The 24,805-nt window shown below is 37.8% G+C and overlaps 1 long non-coding RNA gene across 2 annotated transcripts in view, besides 2 other annotated features; it reads left to right on the plus strand.

Annotated features, from left to right (window-relative positions):
• The window catches only part of LOC105373643 (uncharacterized), a 144,473-nt gene extending 120,390 nt beyond the window's left edge, over positions 1 to 24,083 (plus strand). Inside the window, exons 6-10 of one of the 2 annotated variants that reach the window (NR_188040.1) lie at positions 4,391 to 4,505; positions 9,391 to 9,508; positions 11,877 to 11,966; positions 13,232 to 13,422; positions 23,848 to 24,083. This is a non-coding gene — a long non-coding RNA (uncharacterized LOC105373643). The remainder of the gene's footprint in view (positions 1 to 4,390; positions 4,506 to 9,390; positions 9,509 to 11,876; positions 11,967 to 13,231; positions 13,423 to 23,847) is intronic. The other variant, NR_188041.1, reaches the window with a different exon arrangement.
• Positions 14,422 to 14,961: an enhancer, noted in NCBI's record as "OCT4-NANOG hESC enhancer chr2:140127054-140127593 (GRCh37/hg19 assembly coordinates)". NCBI's record gives its function as "activates a minimal SCP1, AML or CMV promoter by ChIP-STARR-seq in primed H9 embryonic stem cells {active_cell/tissue: H9 hESC(primed)}" and the evidence as "EXISTENCE:reporter gene assay evidence [ECO:0000049][PMID:30033119]".
• Positions 14,962 to 15,500: an enhancer, noted in NCBI's record as "OCT4-NANOG hESC enhancer chr2:140127594-140128132 (GRCh37/hg19 assembly coordinates)". NCBI's record gives its function as "activates a minimal SCP1, AML or CMV promoter by ChIP-STARR-seq in naive and primed H9 embryonic stem cells {active_cell/tissue: H9 hESC(naive and primed)}" and the evidence as "EXISTENCE:reporter gene assay evidence [ECO:0000049][PMID:30033119]".
• Positions 24,084 to 24,805: the final 722 nt, after the last annotated feature.

Below are 24,805 nucleotides of genomic sequence, written 5' to 3' on the forward strand. Positions count from 1 at the left end.
CACCAAGGAGAAGTATAAAAATTCACTGCTTTTTGATTGTTTTAGAGCTTAGTCTCCAGCTCTTTCAGAAAAGAACAACGTAGGAGGTAACAGTGAAATCAGTAAGTATTGTGTTTTTTCTGAATTGAGCAAATTGAAAGCAAACTCAACCCAGTTCCTAGATCACAACTCCCAGAAAATAATTGACTGGGTAACTCGAGCTCAGCCAAGGGGTCCTTCTCAGCCAATCAAAGGAGAGAGCTTCAGGGAGACTTATGACAGCCTCCAAATCCAGGTGGAACACAAAAGCCCCTGCAAGATACTCTTAGAAAACAAACTCAGAAATTCCAATCTTTGCTTGGGGAGCAGAATATCCTCAGAAGCAGGGAATGCACACCCACAGCACTTACGGCTGAAGGCCTACATTTTATTTTCACTTGAGGGCTTTCCTGGTTGGAACACTGCTGTCATATTATACCTGCCCCTTATGGATACCACTGTGCTTATAATACTCTCTACTATGAAAAAAATACTTGTTCATTCGGCATATTGAAAAGAGGGAAGGCATAAATATAAATGCTTTGCAAAATATTAAGAAGGAAGTGAAGTGAATTTAAGAAGTTAATAACAACCTTGCTGATAAGGCACAACAAATGGGTTATAACTAGAGTTTGCAAGCTATTAATATTCTATGGATATTCAGGAAAGGGAGATAGCTGCAATGGGCTAGTTATATTTTTCAGGCATCTCACAGCAATTCCTTCTTTTTTAATATCTGGGATGCAAACCCACATGTACTGTACAAGACTTCATTTCTTGATCAAAAATAAGGTTGATTTCTGTTCCAAGATTATATTTGCTTACTGAATAATTGGTACGGCTTTATTGATGATCTTTTAGAGACACTCATTCCACTTATTCTCTCTGTCCAGAATGTGGCTTATTTAATTTCTTAATAATATAGCAATAGCTGAACCATGCCAATTCGTATAACAATCACAAAGCAAAAACAACACACACACACACACACACACACACACACACACACTGTATCCAGTTATCAACTTTAAAGCAAAAACTATCCTCCCCACGATATCTTCACTATCTTCTTTCTCTTATAGTTTCAATTCCTAGCAGTAGATGTACTCATAAAGGAATCACTGAGAATAGAGTTTTAAAATGCATTACAATTTTTTCAAATCCTGAGATTTAGTTCTTTTCTAATTGTCACATATTGTGAAATGAGAGAAAGAAGCTTTGAGCAAATGAAATAAGGGAAGGGCTAATTTTGATTAAGGAAAATTACATGATTCCTTAAATCTGTAATATGAGGCCTCCAGGGGATGTCATCTTGTAGAATTTTATAGCAAGCACTGGGTAATTTTACAGCAACCTGAACATATTGAAAGCTGAAAATAATGTTGAGTTGTTCACTAGGGTGCTGAAAAGATGAATAAGAAGCAAAAAATTAAATTAAACTTATGTAATTTACTAGGATGACATAGTTTTTATATACATCCAATGGATTAGTTTTTTTTTTACAAAGGTTTATCTACTTTGTGTTTGGAAAATCATGGGAAGAACCTTTTCAGTTTCTGGCTGAAAATCATGACTGAGTCTCTAAAAATATCACAGCTATATTAAGAAGTCACAATAAGAGAGGGAATTTATAGGCTAGTACGTAGAATACATTAAATGTAATTCTATGGCATTCTTATTTTTTACCAAAAATCACAAGTGAATATATTCTGAGTCCATGTAGTATCACAAATAACCTTAAGTTGCCATCATTTAACTTAGTGTCCCACATTTGTATTAGAGGCATCAACATGAACATTACCCTCTCTTTGTATATCATTAGTTCTAATTTGTCAAATTTCCCTTTGCACTTTGATTTCTTGGTGGAGAAAAAAATATGACAAGATGATATTCTGTCCACTGTATAAAAACCTCCTGAGTAAAGGCTCAAATTAAGAAATTGAAAGGGAACTGGTTGAGGGAGGCATACAAAGGCCCATATCTTTTCTATGTAGTTAGCATACCATATACTTAGTTTGTGGAGAGTTGGTTTGTTGGTTTAAAATCATAGTGTCAAAGCATGCACAGCTGTTCTGTTTTGTTTTTCAGAAGCCTGGGGTTCTCTTTTATATTACCCTCTCTTATGACCCATGTTAAGTAAATATTTAAGTTATCAAAAGGGTTGTCTAAAATATAACTGGTCTCACCAGGCACGGTGGCTCACGCATGTAATTGCAGCACTTTGGGAGGCTGAGGTGGGAGGAACAGGAGGTCAGGAATTCAAGACCAGCCTGGCCAACACAGTGAAACCCCATCTCTACTAAAAATACAAAAATTAGCTAGGCACGGTGGTGTGGACCTGTAACTCCAGCTACTCAGGAGGCTGAGGCAAGAGAATTGCTTGAACCCAGGAGGTGGTGGTTGCAGTGAGCCGAGATTGCACCACTGCACTCCAGCCTGGGTGACAGAACAATACTCTCCATCTCGGGGGGAAAAAAAGAAAAAAGAAAAAATATATATATATAGTGATCTCTACACATCCATGTCACCAACTTTCCACATAGAGATAGTGATATTTTTGAAAGTTAAATTTCACATTGCAGATGTTCTGTGTGGGATACTTCAATGTGTTTTCTCCTGCTCTTAGGGTCAAGTCCAAAATTTCTTACATAACTTATAAGCCCAAAAGAATATCAGCCCCAAATTCAACTTTATGTACTCCTTGCACTGTTCACAGTGATACCTGGGTAAACTGTTGTGGTCATTGATTAGAAGATGGAACTATTACCAGAAGAATATTGGATGTGGAATTAGGTATGCTGGAACAAAAAGAGCATGAATGGTTACAAAGCCCAGGTGGTAGTTATAGGTCACATCAGTTTACATATATGTATTTTAGTGACATGAACCCAGTTCTTATAACTTTGCCTGGCAAAAAGAGTTGGAAAGAAGGAAGCGTCTACAAAAAGAATTGAAGGTGCTTCCCTGAATTTTACGGTAACAAATGGAAATGAAGCATGATTCAATATAACAATGTGGTTGGTAGTTCTTACCCTGGCTAGTTGTTGGTAATAGAGATTGGTTCTGTGCTCTGCCCCTCTCTGTGTGTTCCCTTGGGTAGTCATTCCAGATCAATTTGCTGATTTATAATGCTGTGGATAATAATGCTTGCTTTCACCAAGCCATTGTAGAAGATGAATGTTTACTGTGTGTTTAAGATTAGAAGGTAAAAGGTGGTATGCAATCAGAAATGGTGTGTTGAAAGGTTATTAATGACGCTCAAAGCTAAGAGGAGAGGGACAGGCAATTCTCTTTAGGGCTCAGTAGCATTTAATGCCAGGCAGGAGCACACTTATTTTTAGATATACATTTCCCTGTTCATTGAAGACAGGATTCATAAAGAAAAACAATATTTTGACATGTAATAGGATTACAATTTTTTAGAAATTAGGTTAAAATCGTCAAGAAAAAGAAACATCCGAATAAAGGTCAGATGCGAGGCTAACACCTATAATCCAAGCAATTTGGGAGGCTGAGGCAGGAGGATCTCTTGAGCCCAGGGGTTCAAGACCAGCCCGGGAAATATGGCAGAACCCCATCTCTACAAAAATATATAAAAATCAGCCAGGGATGTTGATGCATGCCTGTAGTACCAACTACTGGGGAGGCTGAAATAAGAGAATTGATTGAATCTGGGCTGCAGTGAGCTCTGAGGCACTGTACTCCAGCCTGGACGACACAGTGAGACCCTGTCTCAAAAAAAAAAAAAGAAAGAAACATATTCATTGAGCAATAAAAAGTTGTCTGTGTGATCATTAAAAAAGTATTTTAGTTAAAAGATGCATAACACATTTGAGTTATAAATAAATTATGTATATATGTTATACACACACATAAATTTACTTATTTCCATAAGAAAGAAGTATGCCAATTAGGTAACATTACCTTTTTTCCCCATCCCCTGTTTTCCTAAATCATTTTTGTACAGATTCCTGGCTGATCAGTGTCCCCAAATCATTCTTATTGAATCTAAGTGGAATTATAACTATGTAATTCCATGTAGCTTCACCTGTTTCAACCCTAGTTCATATTGCTGCACTGAGAGAACCAAGTCTGGCAAAAATCAGGGCTCACACTCTGGCTGCCATGTAAGAAGGCTCACGATTTCAGACATCTAGGATGCTGCTATTTAAAATGCTCACTTTGGTATCTTCAGGGCTTTGGAGGACTGTACTTGTCCAGCCTTCAGAGAACAGAATAGACTTAATCGCAATCTAAGAGAGAAGCAACAGGTCTGCCTTATTCCAAAGCTCTCAAACATAGATGATCAATTTTACACATTCCTATGAAACCCTGGACCCCATTCTCGTTGCTTCTCTTTTTGACTGTCCAGGTTCCCACCCATATCTTGCTCTGGTTAGTCACAATCAGAATCTTCACAACCACAATCAGAATCTTCCCACAGCCCTACCTGCAACACCTGCTTGTCTCTGCCATTACAATATAAGGTATGGTTTGATTCTCTTATGTACTGTGTTTGGTGCCCATGCAGTCCCTCATGAGTACCAGCTGATTTTCTTCCGTGTGTGTATAAACAATATCATGTTCCTTTAATTCAAATAATAAAAAGATATATAATCAGCACTGAATCTTTGAGTCACAAGGTTTAACATAGACTTATCTGAATTATTCTACATCCTTGTGACTTGGGAGGGGGACATGTTTATTACTTTTTCTTTTACAGCTTGAAAGTATTCTTTTCAAGTGTTCATTTTGTCCTGTGCAGCAATCTCTAATTCACTCCCTACCCAAAGTTGACTAGAATACTTTAATCTATCATGATTAATATCAAGGATTCTATAATTAAAACACCTCATTTTGATGGGTGGTTTCCTCACTTCCTATCTGTGACGTTGGGCAAGTTACTTAACCTCTCTAAGCTTATCTGAGCCTATTTTATAGCATGCACCAAAAAGCTATTACATTATGGCCATTATTTTTACTGTAGCTCAGCATAGCTCTGAAGACTGTTAAACATTTCACTTTTTATAATACTGTTTCTTAGACTTTATTTGAATATAAAGTTTATACCTTCATTAGAAACATTATTAGATCACTTTATCAGTCTGCTTGGGCTGCCATTAAAAACATACCATAGACTAGGTGGATTAAACAACAGAACTTTATTTCCTTACAGTTCTGGAGGCTGGAAGTCCAAGATTAGGATGTCAGCAGGATTGATTTATTCTCATGCCCTCCCTCCTTAGCATGTAAAGACTGTCTTTTTGTGGTGTCTTCATGTGGTCTTTCCTGTGAGTGTCTGTGTCTTAATCTGCTCTTGTTATATGAAGACAAGCCATATTAGAAAAAGGCCGGTCCTAATTACCGCATTTAAGTGTAATTACCTCTTTTAGGGCCCTGTCTCCAAATACAGTCATATTCTGAGGTATTGGGGGTTAGGACTTCAACATATCAATTTTAGGGAGACACAATTTAGCCCAAAACAATCAGTATCTCTGAAATGTCTAAATTCAGGAATTTAAGATTTTTTTTTTCATTGAATAGAAACAAAATAAAACTAAACATCAATGACAAAGAGAGGCAGAGAGAATAACTACTAATGTAAATGTAATTTTTTTTTCTGCATTGGCTTCCCTTGTCTCTTCTTTTCAGTGAAGTCAATGAAGCCGTTGCCCTACATTTACTTGTATTATACCACAGAAAACCTTCCCTTTGAACCCCAGAGCTTATATCAAGGCTAGTTTAACTTGAATATGACTAATTTACCATGTCTCTTAACAGCAGCTTTTACAATCTGGCACCTGACCCAGAACCTATTTCTGGAAGATTTTAACCTATGTGTAAACAGCACATAACAGACACTTTCTCTAAGGCCTATGAAGGAATATATAAATTGTTCCATATTAATAATGATGATGATAATAGCAAATCCTTCTATAGTGCTTTCTACATGCCAGTCACTATTCTAAGCACTTCACAGGTATCTGCTCTTTATTCCTTTTGTGGGCTTTAAAGTTCCTATTGTTGAGAAATGCAACATTAATTTTTGTACTGTCAAGAGATTCCAGGAAGAGAAATTTTAAAATGCTGTGGCTTTTGTTGACTGTATGACCAACCTCCTATCAACTTAAGAATATCTTGCGGAAAAATGTGAGGTTTTATAATTTATTCATGAGTTTTTAGTCACTTTTAATTGGAGACAATGAAGTGGTTATACCAAATAAAAGGCCTACAAATTAAATTTACATTTTTCTAGTCATTATACTAATATATGCTTATCAAGTGCTAAACTTTTTAAATCATCTGCAGTAAAATGCTTAGAGAGAGGAGGGTGATAGTGCTAAAACTGGTTGAAAATCTGACACATATTAGACATTAAGGTAACAGACTTGTCCAAGGTCACAGAACTAAAACATGGTGGAGCTCCCTAATTCCATGCTACAATTTTAAGCTATTGATAATATCCTGCAAGTTGTTTTATTACATATAAATCCAAGTGGAGACACTTAGAGAAATTGATTAAAAGAAAAACTGTTGAGCATAATCAAACAGTACTGTTGAAAGGCTGTTTTATTTTATTTGCAGAGCATTTTATGTTAGCCACTATCCTGTTATAAGGACTTGTTCATTGTGAGTATGCGGCACTATAGTAATTGGTTATAAAGAAGAATGTAGAACAGCAGGTGTACAATAGAAATTGCTCTTTGTAGTTTAAATAAATTTCTAAGAGCTACCATATATTTAATTCTTATTCCATGATAGGTACAAGGACTTAGATTTCTTAAATCTCATGCAAATAAGTACTTTTAAAACCAATTTTCAGGCTGGACACAGTGGCTCACACCTGTAATCCCAGCACTTTGGGAGACCTAAGTGGGAGGATCATCTGAGGTCAGGTGTTCAAGACCAGCCTGGCCAACATGGTGAAACCTTATCTCTACTAAAAATACAAAAATTAGCTGGGTGTGTTGGCATGCACCTGTAAGCCCAGCTACTTGGGAGGCTGAGGCAGAAGAATTGCTTGAACCTGGGAGGCATAGGTTGCAGTGAGCCAAGATTGTGCCACTGCACCCCAGCCTGGGCAACTGAGTAAGACTCTCACTCAAAAACAGAAACAAAAACCAAAGCAAACAAGAAAAAACAATTTTCTATGTCTATGTTGGATAAATTTAAATTTATTTACTTTCATATCAAAACAAACACCTTAATTTGGGACTAATGTAATAGTTTGTAATTGATTTTAACCTCCTCCAAAAGATACTGTAAGAATAACTCGTATATTAATCATCCTAAAATATAAAATGTGGTGTCATTTTCCAGTTTTTAAGATTTCATCGTCCTAGGAATTCAAGTCCAGGCAGCACCGAATGTCTCTTAACCTTAGTCCACTTATCTTTCATGCCTTGGGGCCCACTGTTTCACTTGGTTTCAAAAAAACAACCTGGCTCAGTGTATTATTGTAGATTCCCTAGAGAAATCCATCTGCTTTTTCCTCTCTTTTTTCTCACATGATTGTCTTGCCTCACAGACCCTTCCATCATCTTCCAAGTGAGGAAACCTATTGAGGTATCAAGGGCCAACTTCAATGAAAACTTCCCCGACTTCCTCTGAATGGATTTGAGCTCCTCTTCTAAATTCCTCTAGCTCTTAGTTGTTATATGCTAATAATATTGATCACATACTAAAGCATCTCATTACATTTCAGTGCAGAAATAATCCTGCTTATTATCATATAGATCCTATCATATAGATCTATAGATCATTAAGCACTGTGTCTGTTACACAAAGGAAATTTTTGATAAATATTTCTGGGGAAAAGGCAATCAGAAAATGGGAAGTAATAAAAGAATGACATTTGGTGCTGTGTCCTTCCTCTTATTTCTAAAATAAAATACATAAAAATTTGGTTTTTGCTAACATAACCATCTGAAGTGATATGACAGGCCTTTGGCTAACTATCTAATGATATACTAGCAATTCACAAAAATTTGGGGAAAATGAACATATATTCACTAATTCACAAGTAGTCACCCATGCTAGATTAGAAGATGAAGAATTGAGTAAAAAGTGGAACCTATTTTAATTATGTTACAGCCTACTGATAAATAAATAATCCCAGTATGGAGTGGTAAGTCCCATAATAAATATCTACAGAGAGGTCTCTGGAAGCACAAGGAAGGACCGTCTGGGTTTGACAGGGGATATTAGAAAAAGTTTCAAAGAACACATGACATTTGTTCAAAATCTTGAAGGATGGAGATGAGTTTGCCAAGCAGAAAAGAATAAAACATTATTTTATCACTTGAGAAAGGGCCTGCCCATAGTTGGTAAATTCAGGATGTGATATTTGGAGAGAGAGGATATTATGGGGTGAGAAAGGAAGGGAGTAGCCATGTTGGGGAGGAATCAGAGAGCCATGCTAACAAGTTTAACTTTAATTGCATGCAAGACTGACAGCCATTAAAAGGTTTTAGGCAGGAAAGTGATGTGATCAGAGCTACAGTATGCTGAAGAATAAATTAATGTGATGAGCCAAAATCAGATGCAGGGAGGTTACGGGACTGCAGCAAAGCTTCAGGGAAAGGCAGTAGTAATAGGATGTGCAGGAAAAAGTAATGCAGATTGCAGAAACTTAAAATGGGTGAAAGAAAGAGAGAGAGGCAAAAGATTGACTGTGGCTTACAGTTTTTGATAAATAATAATGCCAAAAATCAAGATCTGGATTAAGAGGGAGATCTAGTGTGAGGAAGAAAGAAAATCAGTTAGCATTGCAGGTTTTTATCTGATTCTGTAAAATCAACAACTGTCCAGTAAGCAGTTATAAATATTTTTCTGGCATGAGTTGAGACTCAGCTAAAGATATATATTCCAAAACCAATAGTTTAAGCGTGGAGGTAAAAACCTCCATGCATAGAGGTATATGAAATTGGCTATGGACATTTTTGAGAGAGAAAAGGGCTAAGTATAGAGTCCACAAAGAAGACTAAAAGGAAGGTTTTGAACTCAGCTGAAAACTAAGGAAAAAATATTGTCATGAGAAAGAGTGAAGACAGTTTTAAAGAGAATGTGCTATGGTTTGGATGTGGATTGCCCTCATCAAAATTCATGTTGAAATTTGATCCCCAAAATGTCAGTGTTAGGAGGCAGGACCTAATGGGAGGTATTTGGTTCATGTAGGTGGATCCCTCATGAATAGATTAATGCTTTCTCCCAGGAGTGAGTTCTTTCTTTCAAGGGAATGGATTAGTTTCCACAAGAGCAGGTTGTTAAAAAGAGTTTGCTTCATCTGTTTCTCTCTCTTGCTTTCTCTCTTGTCTTGCAATCTCTGCACATGCCTGCCCCTCTTCCATTATCTTCCATGAGTGGAATCAGCCTGAGGACCTCAACAGATGCACCTGCCCAATCTTAAACTTTCCAGCAATCTGAATTGTGAGCCAAATAATTTTTTTATAAATTATCCAGCTTCAAGTATTATACCAACAAAAAAAAGGTAAGCAACAAAAAATCAAGTGAGACAAAAAGTCTCCATAGTTCTTGATACCATGAAACATACAAAGGAAGAATTAGGAAGATACAAAGGGAAGACAAGGGCTTCAAGGACACTTTTACAGGTGATATATACATATAGACTCTCAACTGTGATTATGATTTTACAGGTATATGCATATGCTCAAACTAATCTAATTGTATACATACATTTAGTTTTATATGTTTGATATGTGAAGTTCTGAATATCAATCATACATCGATAAAGCTGCTTAAAAAATAAAAATAAAAAATAGAAGCATACAACAAGTCAACTGGCACTTAAATTAGATAGTGGAATTCTGTGTGTCACTTAATCTTTATCACTTATTTTAAATTTAAAGTCATATTATTGTCTGTATCTAGACCAAGAACTTTTCATAAGACAAGATGTACTATTACATCTTGTATATATAAATGTATATATAAAAATTCAGCAGAGAACATTTATCATGTATCTATTTCCTATAGACTTCTGGACATTTGGAGGTATTTTAGAAAAAATATAATAGTCACAAACTCAATTCAAAAGAAGTTATTATTCATTAAAAAACTCTCCTATTTTTTCCATGTGGCATGGTAATTTAGTTTGTATCAAGAAGCTCTGATATAGGGTCCATTTACTTCATCAAGCATCTAACTAGCATCTAAAAATGGATGCTTTCTGTCCTTCACACAATTGAACTTATCTGTGGCAACCGTCAATCTTCCTAAGGTGGCTCCCAGGAGACTACCAATCGTCACACAAAGCAGAGCCCCAGAAGTCTTTGTGTGCTACTAACTGATCAGATTATGTTATTTATTCCTGTCATTCTCCATTTCTTTCACTGCTACTGACCGTATAATAGGCTGGCAGACAGCTCTGCATTTATCACTCCTCCATCTATAAGAAAAAGGATCATAATTTAGAGTAACTCATGTAACTGGTACGATGAATTTCACAGGGGTTTGCTTGACTCCGTTTTACTGATTCTAACATTCATATTGGTCTGAACCACCCCTTTATTCCTAGGAACTTTTCAGTGTATGTGGAGGATCTTCATATTTTCTTATGCAACACAAGCCAAGTCTCCACGATGTGCATGAAAAATTATAATATATCTCTATTGTTGTTTTTTTTTGTGTTTAACTCAGTGAGCTATATAAATTTTTTTCATTTGAAGATAATATTCTATTTTTTTAAGCTGAAGAAACTTCAAACTACAACTTGTGAAATGTTATTACTTCAGTGAAACTCATTTATTCTTATTATTCCATATTTTTTTTTTTTTTTGGGACGGAGTCTAGCTCTGGCGCCAGGCTGGAGTGCAGTGGCATGATCTTGGCTCACTGCAACCTCCACCTCCTGGGTTCAAGTGATTCTCCTGCCTCAGCCTCACAAGTAGCTGGGATTACAGGTGTGCACCACCACACCCAGCTAATTTTTGTATTATTAGTAGAGATGGGGTTTCACCATGTTGGCCAGGATGGTCTCAATCTCTTGACGTCGTGACCCACCTGCCTTATCCTCCAAAAGTGCTGAGATTATAGGCATGAGCCACAAGCCCAGCCGACATTATTTTTTATATCGTAATTGCTCTCCAGAGCTTTATACAAGGTGTGCATAATTACCCACTATGTATACTTCTCCTGTTATAATTTTTATGGCCAACGTGATCAACATGTGCAAATTGCATGTATCAGTCTGATTCCTTAACTGTGATAATTGGATTCTCCATGCAATTAATTACAGGTAGCAATGACGTTTTGAGCACCTTATACGGGTGCTGGACAGTTTTGTTTTGTTTTAGTTTTGTTTTCTAAATATGAAATAGCATTAAGAAAGTCTAAGTTCTTGGAGCCACACCAGATTATAGGGGTGCCTTTCAACAGTAAATAGCAATTTTCATTGTCACACCAACCACCTCAGGACAAGGAAATCCCCAGAGGAGATTCAATGTTTTTAACTTTATAAGCCAAGAAATTAAACATCTCTTTATTACTAAGTGATGTTCATTGGTGTTGGATTAGAATGTGATACAGTTTGAGTGGTGTATACACTCTGGGGTATCATGAACAGTGACTGCCCAACTGCAAAAAAAAAAAAAAAAAAGGAAAAAGAAAAAAAAAGGAGTTTAATCCATTCTACATGATCAGGTAATCAGGAATCAGACTCTGCATGCTTAAAGCCAAAATATGCCTTCCAAATATGTGCATGTGTGTGTGTGTGTTTGTGGGTGAGTGAGTGTGTGAGCCACTTCTGAGCAAAGTGGCGGACTGGATGGTTGATCTACTTATCCACTTATGGCCACATTAATTATACTTCAACCCCTTGTTTTGTTCATGTGTGCCAGGAAATGCAATGAGTCAATATACTTACTGAGATTGCAGAAGAGACTGAACACTGCGCTAGGCTCTGAAGAGAAAGATGAAAAAGAAGAAAGGTGTGATTTACCTTGATAAAGAATGGTGACAATTGTATAGGGTTTTTGTTAAAAATTAAATGGCAGAATACACGTACAGCACTAACATCATGTCTACCAAATACCAGGCAGTTGATAATGACAGGAGCTGGTGTTATTAAGGAAAATGACATCATAGAGGAGATAGACACAGATGTTGGTGTTTGCATACCAACCAAAAATAATGTGCAGCTTGATACTGTGAAAACGGGTATGTAATATAGTTAGGAAATGGCATAGAAAAAGACCAGCCACATGTATACCTTGAGAATTTTTGATTTTTGTTGAGGGTGCTGTGACAAATGTGAAGGATACTCATTTAATTCATTTTTAACTTGGAATTCAGAGTGCAATTTTGGCTAGGCTCATTTCTTAAAGTAATGGGAAAATACACACCCAGCTTGTAATGCCCTTTCGCCTCATTACTCATGTATCTTTATCCCTCTGGTAAATGTCAGACAGTAAAATCAAAAATACAGTTCGTTTGGTGTGTAAGATACAGCCAGGCATGATTCTGTGTGTCTGAGGGAGGCACTGCTGTTCTTCAGTTCACTCTGTCCCCTTTTCACGCATTTTCAACGGGTCCAATTCCCAATGCAGGTAATATTGGCTGTCCTTGTCTGAGGGTGGTCATGCAATCCCTTGACAGAAGTGAGATTAAGGAATATTTGACCTGCATGCCGGGGAACTGATGGTATTTCTGTCGACATACTCATCTTTTATGGGAGAACTTCAATTCCCCAATCAATGACTGTTCTTGTCTTATGCTTTTCATAACAAGAAAGGTTAGCAGAAAACGAGAGACCTGTGAGAGTTAGTCATTTTCACAGAGTTCCTATGATACAGTGGGTATAATAAAAGCAGATACAGAAGCAATACTAATTGTTGTTTTCTGCATTTCAACAAAGATTGAATTACAGCATCAAGACAATGATAAATTACTTGGTTTCATCTTTAAATGTTTCTGTCTTTTGAAAGACTGAGATTTCTGTTTCTGTTTTTCAGAGCATACTTAAAAGGTGATTATTAAAGCTGCAGGCATTGCTAGATATTAGTAGTCTACTCATCTACTAGTCTGCAGATGTCCTTAGTATTATCCTACACAAAAATGAGATCAGTGAGCAATAATAATTCTCTGGCTTAGAATTTGCAACATAAAGGCGACTTCTATACTTACTATTTTTGCCCAAATGAAACAAGTGGCCAAATAATTCATTGCAGTGTCTCTGGTCTTTTTCTTTCTACAGTGCTCCTGAGTATATGACTACTTGTACTTGCTAGCACTGAGGCAAGTACAAACTCTAGGCATCAGGCTTTTGGTCTCACTCTTAGCGAATTTGAACACTGGCTTTTTTGTTGGGCTTCCATTCTTCTCTCAGCGCAAGAATACCAACGTTTATGACCCAGGAAGCACCAACTTATACTTCACAGAGCTAAGGTAAGGATACGTTTAGTCAATATAGTTCTCATATCTGCCAAATCAGTTAAAGTGTGTTCTGCAGATGAAACTACCAATCCATTGTCTTTTGTACTTGTCTACCATGAAAACTTTTGTCATGTCAGTTAATTATCTTGTACAGCATGCTGTGGCCCTGATGACATACTGGACCCAGACACTACTCAATATGTGAAGCAGTGATATATAATACAATTGATTAAGAAGTATCTATATTGTGCTTAGCTTCTTGCCAGACACTAGGAGGGTATGAGAAATATAAGACATGAATCTTGCCCCCCAAAAGTTTTTAATTTCATTAAGAACTCTGACCCTAATGAAGTAACTACAGATAATCCAGACTGCATTTTAAAAAGGTGGTTCATACACTAGAGTTACACAGGGTTAAAGTACTTTCAGAGTTCAAGGAATGAACAATTAATAGTCCATTGGGATAAAGTAATGATGTGAACAGATGAGCGCAGAAAATGAAGATTTGGAAGAATAAATAAGTACATCTTGATAGCAAAGATAGGGACCAATTATAGTGGTCTCTGAATTCCAATACAGCACATAATCTGAGCTTGTGAAGACTTCTGAGCCAGAAAGTATAATGTTCAGATTGGTGTGCAGTGACTTTGAATATAGAGTATATTGTTGAAATGAGAAAAACTTCACTCCAATTTATGTTTGAAATCAGATAAATCAGGCTTGACCTACCTACAAAAGGTAACAATAAGTACTATCTCAGTCACAGTGATACTGGGGGAAAGGGTGCTTCGGACTCCCCTTGATTCACATACAAATTCCTGAGTGGAGAGAACGGTTCTAGTCTTTAGTCCATGATGGTGATTCCCTACTCACTCTTATTCAAGTTTGTGTGGTCCTTTTAAAGTAGCCTGCTACATTCCTGTTCTTCCAATATGATGACATGCTCTTTCTCCTTGGCTCCAAAACCATGGCCTTTTTGTGTTCTCTCACCTTGGTGAAGATCTGTACTCTATTACGGATCCTTTTGCCATTTGGGGCACTGTGTGGGAGGGGAGAACAGTTCAATTCACTCTAGAAAACTGTCAACTCTGATCACTCCATCACCTTGCTAAATGATGTCTCCACTATAGAGCCAGCTCTGCTTTCTTCACCCTAAGTATTATCATTACCCCATTGGCTTATTTCTTAACAAAAGCTTGGATAGGGAACAGTATTTCCTGGATTTCTCCACATTTCTGCCTATGGCCTTGCTTCATAGCAATCATTGCTAACCTAACAGCCCAGGATTGGAACAAAAGACTTTTAGGGCTGAACATAAAAACTACCTTCAATTAATTCCCATCTTCAGTATCAAGCAGAATAGTGTAAAATTAACATCTCAATAATTACCCAGTCACAGGTGTTTAAGCGAGTTAATTCTTGTCAGCAGGATGCCCTGGATGAGGGGCTAGCAGGAAAGGAGAAAGGGAGTTTAAAGGCTGTGTCATATCCATATCCACAGGTGTCTGCTGAGACACCCACCTAGGATGATGAGAAAGTGACTCTCTAAAACATAAATTGATGAGCTACAGTAATAGAAAGAGAGGGCCATATTGCAAGGCTGTAAAAGGTGTGGGTCAAACTTTTAATCTTCTACATTAGATAATAAATATCCTTATTAGGAGATCTCATAAAAAAAAGAATTTGACATCCAATCTCCTTGTTATTTCACTTTCCTACTCTCCCCACAGTGATTCCTGCTGTGAGATTGTCAAGCAAACATGTAAGACTTAGTGACGCACTTGTAGCCTGGAGCAGTAGAGAGCAGTTTCTAACAATCTTTGCAGCTTCCATATGGGAGTTGCAATGATTAGTTTTTTTTCCTCCGACAAGCTGTATTTAGCATAGAAAAAAAAGTGGCACTATGTTGAAATAGCTGAGAGGAGACAACTTGGGTAACAGGGAGAATGGCATTAGGTTCGGGAGATGCAAGGAATGTAGATAATGTAAAAAATTGTAAGTATAACCAGCATCAGTTGAGTTTAGATGTGGGGGTGGGAGGAATCAGGAAGTTACTAACCACATGATTGCAGAAAATAAGCATAAGAAGTTCGGAATAGATACCTGGAAGGGTGTAAAGCAAACAAGAAAATATGGTTTTTCTACTTACCAAAATGTCTTCAATAGAATTATAAAATATACTTTTTGTTTTTGAGATGGGGTCTTGCCCTGTTGCCCGGGCTGGAGTGCAGTGGTGTGATCACAGCTTACTGCAGCATCGAACTCCTGGGATCAAGTGATCCTCCCACCTCAGCCTCTCCAGTAGCTGGGACTACAGTCTCATGCCACCACACCTGGATAATTTTGTATTTTTAAAATTTTTGTAGATACAGGGTCTAGCTATGTTTCCCAGGCTGGTCTCGAACTTCTGTGCTTAAGCCATCCTCCTACCTTGGCCTCTCAAAGTGCTGGGATTACAGGTGTGAGCCATCATGACTAGCCTAAATATACTTTATTTTTACCCCAGACCTATAAATGATAACTAACGAAAAATTAAACCATGATATAGAAACATAATATTTACTCTTTGATTAAGCTAATATACTTTAAATTCACACTGTGTTTGTAAATGAGTCTTAATATATACCTGTGATAGTTATTATTTTCCTCTCTGTGGATAGCACTCAGTAGAAAGAGAAACGTGGAAAGTGCTACCATGGGAATTCTGAAGCATCGCTCTACTGAGAGCCAGATTGGGGAAGTGGAGTATTCCAAGGGGTGATAGCCATTAGCACTCTTCACAAACATTCTAATTCTCCTTTTTCTGAGCTCATGCAGTGTTGTACCTCCCCACCCACTTTGAAGTTAGCTGTGGCCTTACTTTGACCAACAAAATATGAGCAGAAGTGCTAGAAATTGCCTGCGTCTCCCTCCAAGAAGCAGTATTTAATTGGCCCTGTGAGGCAATGTAGTGCTCTGTTCTCCCTACCCAGGTGATGGAAGTCTGTGTTAAGATGAAGCATTGCGCACATGTACCCTAAAAGTATAATAATAATAAAATTAAATAAATAAATAAATAAATAAATAATAAAAAATTAAAAAAAAGATGAAGCCTATGTCAACCTGGGTCTACAATGAGCAGAGGCCCATTGGCCCATATTGGATATACAATTAGAGTGAGAAGTAAATATTTTGTTTTTAGACATGGTAAGATTTGGGGGTTATACTGCAGCATGAAATACTCCATCTTGATTTTTATAGGTGGTCTGCAAAATTTGCCTTCACATTTGGAAGACTCAAAATCTAATTTTTGAAGGGGTAGAAATTTGAAATTGGAGCAAAACCAAAATGATATCAAAGCAAGGCAGGTCCAGAGTGTGTGGAGCAGTTCCAAGACAGCATCCTTGAAAGACCCAAGCATCCCAATATGAACTCTCAGAGAAACAGAAGAGTTTTACCAAATATTTTGGCTCACTTTTAATGATAAAAGCATCAGAATTTGTGTTAGGCTTCAAATATATACATCATTTATGCTTCATGTATTATCTGCAAGTTAGAAGCATTTCAGAGAAAAAAATAAGAACTTACCTTAACATTCTATTGGCCACACAGCTTTTCTGAGAAGATTACATTGATTTGGGTATGACATCAAGATGGTGAGACATGAAAATTGGCTAGCCATATGTAGAGACCTGAAACTGGATCCCTTCCTTACACCTTATACAAAAATCAATTCAAGATGGATTAAAGACTTAAACCTTAGACCTAAAGCCATAAAAACCCTAGAAGAAAACCTAGGCATTACCATTCAGGACATAAGCATGGGCAAGGACTTCATGTCTAAAACACCAAAAGCAATGGCAACAAAAGCCAAAATTGACAAATGGGATTTAATTAAACTAAAGAGCTTCTGCACAGCAAAAGAAACTACCATCAGAGTGAACAGGGAACCTACAAAATGGGAGAAAATTTTCACAACCTACTCATCTGACAAAGGGCTAATATCCAGAATCTACAATGAACTCAAACAAATTTACAAGAAAAAACCAAACAACCCCATCAAAAAGTGGGCGAGGGACATGAACAGACACTTCTCAAAAGAAGACATTTATGCAGCCAAAAAACACATGAAAAAATGCTCACCATCACTGGCCATCAGAGAAATGCAAATCGAAACCACAATGAGATACCATCTCACACCAGTTAGAATGGCAATCATTAAAAAGTCAGGAAACAACAGGTGCTGGAGAGGATGTGGAGAAATAGGAATACTTTTACACTGTTGGTGGGACTGGAAACTAGTTCAACCCTTGTGGAAGTCAGTGTGGCGATTCCTCAGGGATCTAGAACTAGAAATACCATTTGACCCAGCCATCCCATTACTGGGTATATACCCAAAGGACTATAAATCATGCTGCTATAAAGACACATGCACACGTATGTTTATTGCGGCACTATTCACAATAGCAAAGACTTGGAACCAACCCAAATGTCCAACAATGATAGACTGGATTAAGAAAATGTGGCACATATACACCATGGAATACTATGCAGCCATAAAAAATGATGAGTTCATGTCCTTTGTAGGGACATGGATGAAATTGGAAATCATCATTCTCAGTAAACTATCACAAGAACAAAAAACCAAACACCGCGTATTCTCACTCATAGGTGGGAATTGAACAATAAGAACACATGGACACAGCAAGGGGAACATCACACTCTGGGGACTGTTGTGGGGTGGGGGGAGAGGGGAGGGATAGCATTGGGAGATATACCTAATGCTAGATGACGAGTTAGTGGGTACAGCGCGCCAGCATGGCACATGTATACATATGTAACTAACCTGCACATTGTGCACATGTACCCTAAAACTTAAAGTATAATAATAAATAAATAAATAAATAAATAAAAAGTTGGTGAGACATAATGAGAAACTATCTAGATGTTACTGAGTTTATTATCCCTCATAGAATCAAACAGAAAACTGAATTCTAATGTAACTTTTTTCAATTTTTTAATGAACTTTACTATATGCTGTGAGAATTGTAATAAGAAAATTAGAAATATATTTCTCCCAGAATTGTGAGTGTCTGACTCTTTTGTAAGACCCAAAATATATCAAGAGTAAGGTGACACTTTCTTGATCTTGGAACTTCAGAATGGGAAATTGAGATGCCTACAATTTAGGTTGAATTGAATTTCAGAACGAAGTGAACTTCCTTTGGATGAACAATTCTCATTTAAAATGTTAAGCAGCCAATAAGCATTCAAAAGGCAAGGAAGTTCTCACAGATTCAGTATTGCAATAGCTCTGCTATTTAAAGTGGAAACAAATCTCCACGAATAATGTTTGAAAGACTGAGAGGACAATCTCTAAACATGAAGCCACATAGCTATTGTTTTAGATTTGAGATTCCTTAGAAATACTGAACAAATAGATGTCAGTCTCTGTGCCTAGTGAGTTGGGTACAGCAAGACATGATATTTGACTTATGTTTATAACACCTAAAGCACTGGTGAACTAAAAAAAGTTCCATAAAACATAGAATATATCCAGTGTTCCTGGAAAAAAAAATACCAACACCAAATCAAAAACTAATACCAAATAAAAGCAAAACCATCCCAAGACAATCTTACTCGTTCTTTGAATAAGTTTAGGACTTGTCTATTCAATTAAAATATCTGATCCAGGTTTCTTATGGCTCACTGCTACATTGCTTAGTTCCAAGCATATCTTATAGGAAGAGGCAGACGGATTATCTTTTTTTTTTAAATATGTGTAATGAACATGTAAAGGATGATGATAAGACTAAAGAATGTTACGTATGTGTGGAGTGAGTGTACACTGGTGATTTTGGTCTTGGCTCATGGATTACATCTTTTATAGCTTAATAGGTAAGCACATTTGGACTAACAAAAGAAGACGCTTTAGTTTTATAGTAGTTGATGTACCATCTTTGGCTTTCTTTCCTAAGGGCCAGGGCCTGCATAGGACGACTGCACAGTGCAACTTGCGCATATAAATCACAGCCTGCCACCTGTTATTTAATAGCTAGCACTGCTGACTCAATAACAGTAAGATTCTGTAAAATTGTTCCCTCCAGCCCTGGGTGTTCCCCATAGAGGTAATTGTCTAGAAAATAAATTTCCTGGAAAAAGAACAAGAAGTTACAGACCTAGGAACATCTTTTAATGTCTCAGAAGTTAACTTTCAACCATGCTGATGTGTCTGGTTCCTCATTCTTTAGAGTTACTGTAAATTTTCAACACACATAAGTGGATTTACGTAATTTGTTTTCAAGTAAAGGACTCTGAAATACCCATCAAGCATCTATAATGATTGCAGAGGCTACTGATTACTTAGACTTTCATTTTTGTTTTCCTTTCCAGCAGGTTTGTCAGCATCCAAGTAATATATCAGATACAAGAAAAAAAAACACCATTGCAAAACCAATTTGCTAAGGGGCTTGTAAAATTCAGCTTTAAAAAGTTACTGAGGCATCAAAGTAAAGTACCAAAGAGCCAGATATTTTGATCAGTTTCTCAAGGTCAAACACATTACTAATTCATCAAATATTTCTTTCTGCTAAAGTTATTTGAAAAGCAAACAACCTGTTCTGTGCAGATGTTGCACTTAATAACCCTAATACTTTAAGAAAAAAGGCAGTGAGAGAACAAACAGAATTTTCTACTGTTGTAAGAAATATCTTCCTTGGTTTGCAAAACACTTGCATCATTAATAAATATGTTGAATACTTTTAATAATAGGACCTGAGAAATTTTGATTGTCGTAGTTTTAGCTGATTGTCTCTAATGTCAGTTATATATGCTAACTTAGAGGACAAACAATTACAAATTAATTATAATTATAGACTCAATTGAACCCTCTTTCTGTCTAAGATATCCTGATTGCCTTTGTCTTGGAAATAGAAGTTGCCCAATGTATGCCTTTGTATAGATGAGTCCTGACTGATCTGGCCTCTAAAGTGGAAAAATAACTCAGCAATGAAGTCTGGACACCTATTACTACTTTTTCAGTAACAAGTTTCTCGGATCCTGGCCATGGGACTTCTCCTCTTTGGCCTTACAAAACGTGGCCTTAGGAATTGAGGATGCAAACATCTCATTTGGTTCTAAAGTTTATCTTTTTCTCTTTAAATTTATTCAGAAATATTGTATAACGGTTTTACACTCTACATGTAATAGAAAAACTTTTGTAGGTATTCTGCTCAAGAAATGACTTCCAAAGGGAAGTTAGCATAAATTATTGAGTAGATGCCACCATTTTGCATGCCAAAATCGAAGGAGGCCTTAACTTGAGAAACAAACATCATGATCTGAGACAACAGTGGGCCACAAGTATTTATCTTCTGCAGCTTAATCTACTCACATATTGATGTGGGGTTGCTCTACCACCAACCTACATAAACGAATTCTGATTGTCTAATCAACAGGTTGAAAATATGCATGAGAATGAAGGGTAAGTACAGAAGCTTAAGGAAAGAAGAAGGAGAAAAAGGAGGAGAAGGAAGAAGAACTAGTAGAAATAGCAGTAAAAGTAGTAGCAGTGGTGGTAGTGGTGGTGGTGGTGGTGGTGGTCGTGTGAATGATCCCTCCTGATGTCTAGAAAGTATGAAAGGTACAAGCTATAGTAGAGCTTTTGTATCCCTAGCAGGAATAAGAGGAGCATTATTGCCTTTCTTATTCTAAGTGTTGTCGCAATCATATGAAGGTGGCACTGGGCTATGCCTGTAAGAACACTTGGCAAGGGAAAGTCACAAGGTCACCCATAAGTCATGACATGAAATGTAGTTTTAGTGCAAAGTCCAACCCTATAAGAAAATTGAGAGAAACTAATCACTTAATAGGGCTGACTTCATTGAATTTTTTGAACCACAGTATAAGGCAAATGGATAAACTATTCCTCATGTTAGACTACACTAGAGAGTGGACCTTTTACAGTGATGCCCGTGACTAAATGGCAGATGCTTAGCAGGTCCTCTCAATACCTTGGCTCTAGCCTAATGAGTTAAAATCCACTTCTAAATCAGTTTCAGTGAGGTGAGTCTATCTGGTAGTGTAGTCCCCCTGGAGCAGGTGTCAGGCAAGGATGCCAGCAGGTGGCTAGATGGGCACTGAGACAACAGGACTGGATTTGAAGTCAAGCGGATATTGATATTCAATCTTCTCAAACACCATGGAGCTCCAGTGTAACTGATTCCCTTCTTGTCAGGCTTTCCTTCAGGTAAAATCAAAGGAGGTGCCAAAAACAATTTTCTCGCCCAATTAGTTTTTGATCATGTATTAGTCCGGACTCTTGCTGCTAATAAAGATACACCCAAGACTGGGTAATTTATAAAGAAAAAGAAGTTTAATGGACTCACAGTTCCACATGGCTGGGGAGGACTCAAAATCATGGCAGAAGGTGAAGGGGTAGCAAAGGTATGTCTTACACAGGCTAGAGTGCATGTGCGGGGGAACTGCCCTTTATAAAATCATCAGATCTCATAAGACTTATTCATTATCATGAGAACAGGAGAAACCCACCCCCATGATTCATTTACCTCCCACTGGTTCCCTCCCATGACATGTGGGGATTATGGGAGCTACCATTCAAGATGAGATTTGGGTGGGGACACAGCTAAACCATATCAGATCACATGTAAAATAATATCATCAATGGTAGAACTGGAAAAAAGTGTGCATATACTAAAAATATTGCTGATAATTTCCTTGCGTTATTCACCACTTCCTGCCCAGAACAAGAAACGTGGACATGCTGATTGGAAGAGCCAGTGGGAGGGTAGGCAGTGCCCAGGGATTAGACACTAAACAAATATCTACTAACTGCTATATTAGTTAGGGTTCTCCAGAGGGACAGAACTAATAGGATACATGTGTATATAATAGGGAGTTTATTAAGCAGAATTGGCTCACGTGATTACAAGGTAAACTCCCATGATAGGCTGTCTGCAAGCTGAGGAAGAAAGAAGCCAGTAGTGGCTCAGTCTAAGTCCAAAACCCTCAAAAGTAGGGAAACCAACAGTGCAGACTTTAGTCTGTGGCTGAAGTCCTGAGAGCCCCCGGCAAACCACTGGTGTAAGTCCAAGAGTCCAAAGGCTGAAGAACGTGGAACCTGATGTCCAAGGGCAGAAGGGACAGATGGAAGCATCCAACACAGGAGAAAGACAAAAGCCAGAAGACTCAGCAAGCCAGCTTATCCCACCTTCTTCCTCCTACTTTGTTCTAGCTGCACTGGCAGCCAATTGAATGGTGCCCACCCATATTGAGGGTGGGTTTTCCTCTCCCGGTCCACTGACTCAAATGTTAATTTCCTCTGGCAACACCCTCACAGACACACCCAGAGACAATACTTTACCACCCACCTATGCATCCTTCAATCCAATCAAGTTGACACCTAATATTAACCATCACATCTGCCCACTGGAGAAATTGATCCCACCAAACCATTGCTTCACAGAAACAGATATTTTTCACTTAAATTCTGTGCAAAAAAACCCCACAAAAAATAAAAACGAAAACAAAATCTTACTTTAAGCTGCTTTATGAGGCTATTGTCTGGAAATCAGTGCTCGCCTTTGTCTTTGTATGAAAGATCCTCAAGGGCATGGATTATGGATGCATCTTGTTTTGTATATCACCTGTCACCTTGCCACAAGAAAACAGGACATGCATTTTCAATGATGATAATAGCAAAGCCACCTACACCTGGTGTGCAGAAATTTTGACTACATGCTTTAAGCAGAATTCAGGGGAGCAGTTTCCAGATTGCTATGCCTGAAGTTTTACTGTGCAAAGGGTAAATATTCACAGGTGCCATGGAATTCAATACAAGGTAAATGATCATAATCCATTCGGCTTCAAATCTCTCTGGGTTTACTGTCTCTGATGAACCTGACAGAATCAAGAATTTGTGTGTATTGCAGACTTAATCTACATTCAGGGTTATCTTTCTTTGTGTCTGGCTAAGGCAGATATCTATTTTCAACAGACTCTGGCCAGCATTCCCCATTATTTCTTATAGCAGATTCTATTTACTGTCAGTGACATTTGAATGTAACATCTAGATAGGGGCTGCGGAAGTGTAATCCACATTATCCTAATGGCAGTCCTGAAATTGCAGAAGAGGAGTGTGATAAGTGTTACATTACAGAGAGGAGAGACAACAAGTACTGTGAGTGACACCGACAGGCATTAAGGCATTCTTCTTCTTAGTGTTCCTTCCCAATAGGGGCGGTCTTGAGTCTTTTTGGTTTTTTGTTTTGAGATAGGGCCTTGCTCTGTAGCCCAGGCTGGAGTGCAGTGGCACGACCAGAGCTCACTGCAGCCTCAATCTCCTGAGCTCAATAGATCCTGCCTCTGCAGCCTCCCAAGTAGCTGAAACTACAGACACATGCACCACCATGTCCAGCTAATTTTTGTATCTTTTTGCAGAAACAGCATTTCGCCATGTCACGCAGGCTGGTCTTCAACTCCTGGACTCAAGCTATCCACGGGCCTCGGCCTCCCAAAGTGCTAGGATTACAGGCATGAGCCACTATGTCCGGCTTGGAGTTTTTAGTCTCATCAAACCAACTCACCCAAATGTCCCTTGGTGACAAAAAGTTTTCTGAAAGATTAAGTAATCTTTGTTTCCCAAGCCTGACAAAATAAAAAGTTTTCTGTCTCTCTCTTTCTCTTTTGCACTGTTTCTCTTTAAGTCTTGTTAGAATACAGAACTGTAGACATTTAGACAGAGCCAGGGTCATTGTCTTGACTGGCCCACTGACCAGATTAGTAATTCTTAAACTAGGGTCCCTAGACCAGCACCACAGGCATCTGTGGGCTTGTTAGAAATGCACATCCTTGGACCACTGAATCAGATATTTTGAGAGTGGGCTCAATAATCTCTGTTTTGAGAAGACCCCCAAGTAAACCTGATGCACAGTAATTGTTGAGAAACACTGAATAAATTGTATACCATTAGCCTGTTTTTAAAAATCATCTGAGCCATTCCTTTATTATATGAGATGACCATTAAAATCTCACTCAGTTTTATCATATAATGAAACATTTGGTGATAGCATAAAACTCTATTTTGATGGCTCAGTTTTTATGATTTCCTTTGATATAATTGTTTCCTTAAGAAGGTGCCAGTTTTGAAAAGGAAACTGTTTTGTTCCCTTTTGTACAGCACAAGCTAAGGATCTATGATGGAATGATAATTAATCTGTAAACTATAATTATGTTGTCGATTCTGGCTGTATATGGGGCATACCTGATTCATCTGCTACTTGATGTCCTGCATGACCATCACCAGACACCAAGCAGCAGAACAAGACCATGGACCACAGAGTCCTGGAAATGTCTACCTCCTGAGCTGAGCCACCACCAGGAATGGTGTCAGTAAATG

Source organism: Homo sapiens, chromosome 2 (assembly GCF_000001405.40).
Source record: "Homo sapiens chromosome 2, GRCh38.p14 Primary Assembly".
Taxonomy (NCBI): Eukaryota; Metazoa; Chordata; class Mammalia; order Primates; family Hominidae; genus Homo; species Homo sapiens.